The sequence below is a fragment of the Homo sapiens genome, chromosome 20 (assembly GCF_000001405.40).
Source record: "Homo sapiens chromosome 20, GRCh38.p14 Primary Assembly".
NCBI lineage: Eukaryota > Metazoa > Chordata > Mammalia > Primates > Hominidae > Homo > Homo sapiens.
In genome coordinates this window covers 17,745,574-17,754,973 of record NC_000020.11, presented here as the reverse complement: position 1 = coordinate 17,754,973, position 9,400 = coordinate 17,745,574, and the positions used below count along the sequence as shown (strand labels likewise).

The 9,400-nt window shown below is 46.6% G+C and overlaps 2 annotated features.

The window, feature by feature from the left end:
* Positions 1,845-2,550: an enhancer, noted in NCBI's record as "OCT4-NANOG-H3K27ac hESC enhancer chr20:17733069-17733774 (GRCh37/hg19 assembly coordinates)". NCBI's record gives its function as "activates a minimal SCP1, AML or CMV promoter by ChIP-STARR-seq in naive H9 embryonic stem cells {active_cell/tissue: H9 hESC(naive)}" and the evidence as "EXISTENCE:reporter gene assay evidence [ECO:0000049][PMID:30033119]".
* Positions 3,876-4,428: an enhancer, noted in NCBI's record as "H3K27ac-H3K4me1 hESC enhancer chr20:17731191-17731743 (GRCh37/hg19 assembly coordinates)". NCBI's record gives its function as "activates a minimal SCP1, AML or CMV promoter by ChIP-STARR-seq in naive H9 embryonic stem cells {active_cell/tissue: H9 hESC(naive)}" and the evidence as "EXISTENCE:reporter gene assay evidence [ECO:0000049][PMID:30033119]".

Sequence of the window (9,400 nt, the reverse complement as noted above, 5' to 3'; positions counted from 1 at the left end):
AAGTGGGGCTCAATGCTACTGGGCACCTCTGAGAAACATCATAGAACATGCCTCAGAATGGTCCCACTAGGGGTGGGGCGGCTGGGGTATTTATCGCCAGCTGCCATCTCTTGTTGGCTGCAGGCCACCCCTGGGGTGATCCATCCCTGGTCCTCTCAGCTTGCCCAGTGTGCAAACACAGCAAACCCTTAGAGAAGTGGAGAGCTGCAGTGCACCTGAGGGTGTTCACTGCATCACCGGCGAGACCCGAGATGGGTGAGGGGACACAGCACCTGCCTGGTTCCCACAGACACTCATGTTTGCAACCTCTGAACCCAGTAGCATTGCCCTTGTCTGGTTATTTTTCTTCCCCAACCCTAAACTGTGAGCATCTTCAGGATAGGGATTGTGAACTTTCTCTCTTTAACTCTGGTGCTTAGCACTGTGCCTGGCACGTAGGTACTCAATTTAAAAAAAAAAGTGTGTGTGCCTCAGTTTGCTTATATCAACACAAAGGCGGTTCAGCTCTGTGATGGACACAGACACACTCTGCAGGAGTGGAGCAGATCCTCTCAATTTGCTGCCCAAATATGTGAGTAGGGACAGCTCACCTTCCTGGTACTGCTATAGCTGAGGTAGGAAAAGCTAGTGGCTTGTGAGCCATGGTACCGATTCAACCACAAGTTGTTGGAACCAGAGAAAGGGAGGAGACCCATAGGATGAGCCCCTGCCGCTAATGGAAGCATGTTAGAATTCATCCAGCAAATACCTACGGGTTTCCTGCAGAATGCTTGCCGCACTTAAGGGTGCTGGGGATATACCACCTTACATTCTGGAGATGGGGATACAGACATTTTGGAAGCAAATCAAGATCTTTTTAGAGGGTGATAAGCACCATGAAGAGAATAAAGAGGGCGATATGACAGAGTAGCCAGAGGAGGAGACGACTGGAGGTTGAGTGGTCAGGAAGGGCCTTTTTGAAGAGACAACATTTGAACTTTATGCAGATACCAGTGGAAAAGGCATTGCAGGTGGAGAGAACAGAATGTGCAAAGACCCTGAGGCAGGAATTAACTGGTCTACCTCAAGGATCAGAAAGAAGTCTTGAAGATAAGGGGGCAGGCGTACAAGACGAGGTCTGAGAAAGAGACAGGCACAGGTCACATGGGACCCAGTGAAGCCTCAGAGAGCTTGAATTTTACTCCAAGTGCAATGAAAGGGTGTTGCAGTTTTAAAGATGTGACTGCATCATCTAATTTGGTTTTTAAATAATTCTTCTGGCTGCTGGGCAGCGGACCAAAGGCCTAGGGTAGGGAGGGGAGTAGAAGGGAAGGTGTGGAAACAGGGCTGGTGGAGAAAAGTTGTCCTCTTCCAACTAGAAGTAGTGTGTGGCATGAGCTATGGAGGTGGGAAGATGGTCGGTACATTCTGGAGTTGGTGTGGACAGGACTAATGTTGAACAGGACATGGGTGGGACAGGAGGGGAGACTACAACTTTAGGGTTGACAAACATAATCACTTCTGCGCTGAGCTATTGGTAATTTCCCAAAAAGGGGCTGTCACTTGTCACCCCTTCATCCTCCATGGCCTGCCTGGGATATTAGGACAGTGCCTTGAGACCTTCCTGGGGAGGCAGCACCCTCACCATCACACAGACTTTTTGGAACAGGGGCCAAGCTTCTCTCCATGGGCACCCCAGATTCTTGAGGTTGAGGGAGAGATACGTAGTGTGAGAGACTATTTCTGGGGATTCTGAGTGCCTGCATGAACAGAGTACTCCATGGTCCCTCCCCAGTCCCCAGCCCCTGGAGAGGCACTGCATTCTGCAGCCCAAGTGTCTGCAAATCCTGGCAAAGGGAACTTCAACAGACCTCAGAATTGTCCTTTTTTTGTAAGTCTCTGAAAGCCCCTGGATGATTGGAATTTTTGAAGCAAGCTTACATGGTACAGGACTGATGTATTAGTAGTGATATCAGACCTTCTGCTCCCAGGTGAGTGGACCCATTGGGCACTTACTGGCATAGTGCTGCCCCGATTCCAGGTACTGGGGCTATCTTCACAGCCCCATTACAAACCCAACATTGTAAGTAAGTACCCCCATTTTTCTAAGAGATGGCTTAAGTATTTTTTTCTATGTCTTTTCTCATTCCCCTGGTTCCCCACTTCCTACTTAGCCGTTTAGAAATGCAAATATATCCTTTTTCCTCCCCTTCACCAGACTCCCTACAGGGCAAATTCATCTACATGCTCCAAGACAGAACTCTTGAGAGTTAACAGTCAATTTACAAACCAAAGCATGCCCCTTAAGAAACTCTCACCCTCCAGGAGGTTGCCTCAAAAGAGAACAGCCTGCCCATTAGGGCACCAGCAGTGACCAGCTCAACCACCTGGTACCACCACCAGCTCAACCACCTAGACACCAAGCTAACACTCGGACCCCTCACCTTGCCTGCTTCCTCCTCTGCCTTTAAAACAAATTTTTTTTTTTTTTTTTTTTTTGGCAGACAGGTTCTCACTCTGTCACCCAGGCTGGAGTGCCCTGGTGCGATCTCCACTTACTGCAATCTCCACCTCCTAGGCTCAAGCAATCTTGCAACCTCAACCTCGCAAATAGCTGGGACTACAAGTGCACACCACCGCACTCGGCTAATTTTTTGTATTTTTTGTAGAGATGGGGTTTCATGATGTTGCCCAGGCTGGTCTCAAACTCCTGAGCTCAAGCAATCCGCCTGCCTCAGCATTCCAAAGCTCTGGGATTACAGGTGTGAGCCACCATGCCCAGCCCCTCCCCTGCCTTTTAAAAGTGCCCACTTTCTGTTCCAAAAATGAAGTGATACATTCAAAGGCAAGGTGGACACCAGTGCTTCTTCCCGTAAGCTAGCTTTGAAAATAAATCAATTTCTTTATAGCGGACCTCGCTCTTATTCAATGGACTCTGCAGGCAGCAAGCGACTGTCCCACCAGCCTTTTAGTTACAATGCGGATGTCCCTTTCCGTCTTTTACAGCCACACGTTAAGATTTTTAACAATGAAGACCATATTTCTAAATGCAAATTAAAACTGAAAAATGTGGGTATGGTGGCACACACCTATAATCCCGGCTGCTCCGGAGGCTGAGGCGGAAGGATCACTTGAGCCCAGGAGTTTGAAGCTGCAGTGAGCCATGATTGCATCACTGAGCCTGGGGTCACAGAGCAAGACTCTGCCTCTAAAAAAATTAAAATTTAACTTTAAAAATCCTGAAAAATTTAATGCTACTACACCTCCCCCAGAATTGATAAGACTAAAAAGACTGACCCACCCAGTGTCGATAAGGATTTGGGGCAAGCAGACTTCCCGTACATGGCTGGCAGGAGTATAAATTGGTCCAACCATGTTGGGCATCTGTTTGGCAGTGTCCAATGAAATTAACATACATATGCTTTGTTACTCAGCAATCCCACTTTGAAGTACACCCAAGAGAAACGAGAGCATGTGTTTACCAAAAGACACGTACAAGAATATGCTTAGCAGCACTATCTGTCATAGCCAATGAGTAGTCTATTCATACAATGGAATACTATACAGCCACGAGAAAGAATGAATTATTACTGCACACAATATCATGGATGAATCACACCAACATAACATGGAAAGGAGCCAGACACAGAACTGCACATATTTTACACATCCATTTATATAAAGTTCATAAATAGACTAAACGCTCTCTGCTGCTAGATGTCAGCTGTGGGAAAGTGGACCCGTCTGAGACGGGGCCCGAGGGGCCTGCCAGTAATGTCCTGTTCTTTACCTGGGTGGTAGTTAAGTGGCTGTGGTCACTTCTGAAAATTCATCACACTGTTCGCCAATAATTTGTGCATCTTTCTGTGGGTATTACACTTCAACAGAGTTTTGTAAGAGACCATATTCCATAACTCAGTCACTCAAATGGATCTTCAGAAGACTTGTTGAGAATGGATCAAATGGGTCGTCACCATGTTGAGAATAGTATAGAGAACCACTTGGGGCTCTAGTGGCCATTCCAAAGGAGGAATTCCAGAATGTTCTGAGCCAGGAGTGGGTAACCTCAGTAGTGGCTGGGCCCCCAGGGGCCTGGGTGGACAACATCCTTATGGGGAGTGAGAGAGAAGCCCTTTGGTCTAAGGAGGGGCCTGCTTGCCTGTGGGTGACCCCGAGCAGCTCTGATTTTGCTTCCTTTGCTGAGGGCCCAACCCTGAGGCCATTAATTATGGGGCATTGTTTGTCCATTGACTTATGGACACTTTAAAAACATAACTGTATTAGGTTTGGGAATTTTGATCCTGTGCCTGCCCTGGAAGCCTAAGGAGACTGGCCGGAAGTGTTACACAATGGGGAGGTTCCCGAGAGGTCCCCGCGGCTTTGCCGGACTCAGCCAGCCAAGGGATTTCCCTGCTTCCCGTGGGTTCTTCCTCTCCCGCCCCATCGCTTGGGTCACATTGTGGCTGTTCAGGAAACTGCCTGCTTTCAGGAGCACCAGGGGGCTGCCGTCCTTGTTTGGGCATGAGAGTTTGATCCCTGGCAGGTCCTGGTGAGGTCACAGCACCTGAGTCTGTCCCATGGGCAGTCAGGGTCTGGAAGTTGGGTGGGCCACTGGGGGTCCCTGGAGGGCTCCACCCTGTGTGAGCCCTGGGAAGCTTTGCACGCCTCCCAGAAACAAACCTTTGCTCACCCCAGTCACGAGCGAATTTTTCTCTCAGGGTCAACCTCTTCCAGGTTTCACCACAAGGCAGAACAAACAACCCTTGAGGCAGTTGTCTTTCTAGTTTGCTCCAGAGCTGAGTCAAGAAGGAACAGCTGACGGGGACTTAGTAGAACACCAGAGCTCCCACTGATGGCCGGGGAAGAGGGTCGGATGGCTGGGCAGTAGAGGCCCCCAGCTCTCAGTGCTGGCCATTGGCTTGATTCAACACTTACTTATTGCATGCCTACTCATACTAGGCACAGGGCCAGGCCCTAGTGATTAATTTGAATGGGTTGACATAATAAAATAAGTACATTTTAAAATTATATTAGAAGATGATAAGGGCTACTGTGAAGAAAAAACATTTTATAAAGCTGGTAGAGGAGATAGGGGCGGTGTTTTTAATGAGAGGGCCTCCTGCGAAAGTGTAAGCAGAGTCTTAAAGGGTGAGTGAGCTGGGTGGAGGCTGGGGAAGGCTGCTCCAGGCACAGGAGGAGCCGTGCAGAGGCTGGGAGGCCTCTCTGCCAACAAGCGGCTCTGGTGTGTTTAAGGACCAACAAGGGGCCGGTATGGCCAGGGTGGAGAGGAGATGAGAGAAGGAATAGGTCCAGATTGTGCAGGGTCTTCCAGACCATCTTAAGAAATTTGGTTTTACTCTGAGATGGGGTAGGATGTCATCAGACTAACATGAAGCCAGTCCCCAGGTTGGTGACTAGAAAAACCAGCTGCAGTAAGAATCAAAAGTCTTAAAAATGTTTCTGCCTTCTTATTCAGTTAAATGCATTCTTAGGCATCTTCCTTAAAAGAAGAATGGAAAATATTGCAAAGATTTCTGTTTTAGAATTCACTCATTCATTTTTTAAAAAATACGTATATAGCTGCTCATAAAAGCTTTGATTGTAATGGTGAAAAAACTGAAAGCCAAAAAGTCAAAAAGAGAAGGCACAAATCAACACATTATTGGACACAAATTTGATGGATTGTTATACACATAGCCGTTAAAAACCATTTTTCAGGCTGGGTGAGGTGGCTCACGCCTGTAATCCCAGTACTTTGGGAGGCCAAGGTGGGCAGAACATCTGAGGTCAGGAGTTCGAGACCAGCCTGGCCAACATGGTGAAACCCCGTCTATACTAAAAATACAAAAATAAGCCTGGTGTGGTGGTGTGCGCCTGAAGTCCCAGCTACTCGGGAAGCTGGGGCAGGAGAATCACTTGAACCTGGGAGGCAGAAGTTGCAGTGAGCCGAGATAGGGCCACTGCACTCCAGCCTGGGCGACAGAGCGAGACTCCATCTTAAAAAAAAAAAAAAAAAAAAAAAAAACAGCCATTTTTCCAAAAAGATTTAATGATGAGGGAAAATGTTTAAAGCATACAAATGAAAGAAACAGGATAACTTATGTTTGATAAGATCATTTTTAAAATTTTAAAATTTTATTTATTTATTAAATTATTTTTTTGAGACGTCTCTCTGTCCCCCAGGCTGGAGTGCAGTGGCGTGATCTTGGCTCACTGCATCATCTGCCTCCTGGGTTCAAGCGATTCTTCTGCCTCAGCCTCCTAAGTAGCTCGAATTACAGGCATGCGCCACCATGCCCAGCTAAATTTTTTTGCATTTTTTAGTAGAGACAGGATTTCACCATGTTAGCCAGGCTGGTCTCGAACTCCTAGCTTCAGGTGATCTGCCCGCCTTGGCCTCCCAAGTGTTGAGATTACAGGCATGAGCCACTGCGCCCAGCCTCTCAATTTGCTTTTGAAAATATACAGCATACATGTGACATTGATTTGCCTTGAAAACATGATGCTAAGTGAAAGAAGCCAGTCACAAAAGACTACACAGCATGTGATTCTATTTACATGAAAGGTCCAGAACAGGCAAATCCATAGAAACACAAAGTCCATTTGTGATCGCCAGGGGCTGGGTTGGGCTGGGGGAGGGGAGCAACTGCTAGGGGGATACCTTTTTGGGGTGATGAAAATATTCTAAAATCAAATAGTGGCGAGAGTTGTATCAACTCTGTGAATATACTGAAAACCACCAAGTTGTACACTTTAAAAGAACAAATTTTATGGTATACAAATTTTATTGAAATAAAGCTATTATTTAAAAATGTACCTATAGGCAATTGAAAAAAGACTGGAAAGAAATCCGATAAAATATTAGATGATAGGGTTTATTTCCTAACTTATTCATTTTCTTCTATACATTCCCCTATATTTTCCAAAGTTTTCACAATGTAAATCCACGATTTATTCATCGTACCCACGCACATTGGTTAAGAAACTCAGTCATTGTAAATCTGTAAAAAGACAAAAAAGGGGCAAACATTGCCTATAACAGAGCCTTCTCGGGGACTTCCTGTGACTCTCACCCCCACTCCCAAGATAGGTTCACATGGTAGTGATTTGTGATGTTCACCCCAATTTTCCATTCTCTCCTCTCCCAGCAGACAGCACTACCTGGTCCCCTTGGGGCTGGGTGGGGCCATGTGACTGGTGCTGACCAGCCGTTTGTTAGTGAAAGTGACATGTCACTTCTGAGCCAGAGCATTTAATGGCTAGTGTGAGACACTTCTTTCTGCTGAAGTATCCTGCATACATTCAAGATGAGGTTGCTGTGTCAGCTCAGGTTGTGGAGACAGGACAACACAGAGCTGTCCCAGCAGACCTGAGATGGGCACGGAATGGGCATGAGATAGACAGCTTTGCTGTCCTAAGCCACTGAGCTCCTGGGGGTGGTTGTTGCTATCACAGCACAGCGTAGCCTGCACTGACTCATGCACACAGACGGTGAGGTCTGAGGAGCTGCCACCAATGTTAGTCATCTGCAGCTGCTGTCCAAAGTAAAATATATCAATAACTGCATGTTCCATTGCTGCACAGCACCTCACTTCCTTTGCTTTTTTTTGTTGTTGTTTTGTTTTGTTTTGAGATGGAGTCTTGCTCTGTCACCCAGGCTGGAGTGTGGTGGTGTGATCTTGGCTCACTGCAACCTCTTCCTCCTGGGTTCAAGCAATTCTCCTGCCTCAGCCTCCTGAATAGCTGGGATCACGGGCACGCCCCACCATGCCTGGCTAATTTTTGTCTTTTTGGTAGAGATGGGGTTTCACCATGTTGGCCAGGCTGGTCTCGAACTCCTGACCTTGTGATCTACCCACCTCAGCCTCTCAAAATGCTGGGATTACAGGTGTGAGCCACCGGACTCGGCCACCTCACCTCCTTTTCTATTTAAAATGCCTTCATGTCTACTTTTGAGCTTTCTTCAAAACAAAGCTAGGAGGTAAGAAAATCAGTTACTTTTCTCATTTAACAGTCCAAGAAACAGCAACTCAGACAAACTAAGTGTTTTGTCATTGGCCCCCCACCCACTTAATGGCATTATCCGGCCCTCTAACTCTCTGCCCAGTGCCCTGGCTACAGTGGCTTCTCAATCTGGTCCAAGAAGAATCAATCACCAGGCCAAGCACTAAAGCAGCATAGTTTGTGCAGTTAAAGATTATCCTTAAAATAAAACAGAGACTTTACTATCAAGGGGGCACCAGTGCACAGCTTTGAAGAATCTGCTAGAAACAGGCACAAAGAAATGAGTCAAGAAAGAAAGACAGCCACCCTGCATTTCGCCAAGGTGACCTTGGCCTTGGAAAAGTAACCAGAGAATTAAAATTGGAAGGTGTAAGGAGATCCAAAAATCTCCAAGACAGAGAAATGTAGGAGGCGCTGTCTTCGGCTTAGAAAGAGAGCTCCTGATGCGAGACAGCGACACAGAGGGAGAAGGATGGGTGTGAGCCCACAGAATGCTGTCCCAGGACCTCGTCCCCCTGCTCTCTACAGCTCTAATGCTTTGTGTTCCAAAATGGAAATGTCTGTCTTGCTTTTTTCTGATTTGTAAAAGTAATACTTAGTGCAAAAATTTAAATGCTGGACTACTGCATAGAGTGGAGCGTGAAAGGGCCTTTTAATCACATCCCTCAAGGATAACCACTGCTGGCAGTTCAGCATCTCTCTTTCCACAGTTTTTTCTATGCATGTATCATAGAATAGCCAGGATCTATGCTATGGATAATGGATCTCTATCTATCTATCCATCATCCAATCCATCTATATCTATCATCTATCTATCTATCTATCTATCTATCTATCTATCTATCTATCTAATCTATCATCTATCTACTTGGCTAATCTATATTGTTTATCCTATACTGTTATAGTATATATATATATGTCTATATTGTTATACCTTCTCTTTATAAAAATGTATCCACCTTTCCACTGTCCTAGACAACTAGCTCACACTTCATCTTTACTCCCCATTCTCATTCATAGCCTGCCATCTTGCTTCCTGTTGCACTGAGAAAACAGAAGCCACCAGAAGAGAAATTCCTTAAACTCCCACTACCACAACACCTTCTTCTCTGCATCAGGGCTGCCTGCTCTGCCTTCCCTCCTATGGCCCACTGTGGGTGTCCTCCTAGCCAAGGCCAGTCTTTCCTTCTGTTTGGATCCCAAACCTATTGTCTACTCAAGGACACGCTGCAGCAGCTCTTCCCTCTCTCTCCCGTATCCCCAAAGTTCCCCCCTCATTCCCCCTGCCCCCACCCCGGGATCTTTTGCAGAGCATCCAAAAACACTGTCCTTCATCGATTCTTAGTTCTCCCCTCATCTGACCCATCGGTAGCATTTGACACAGTTGCTCACTCCCTCCTCCTGGAAACACCTTCTT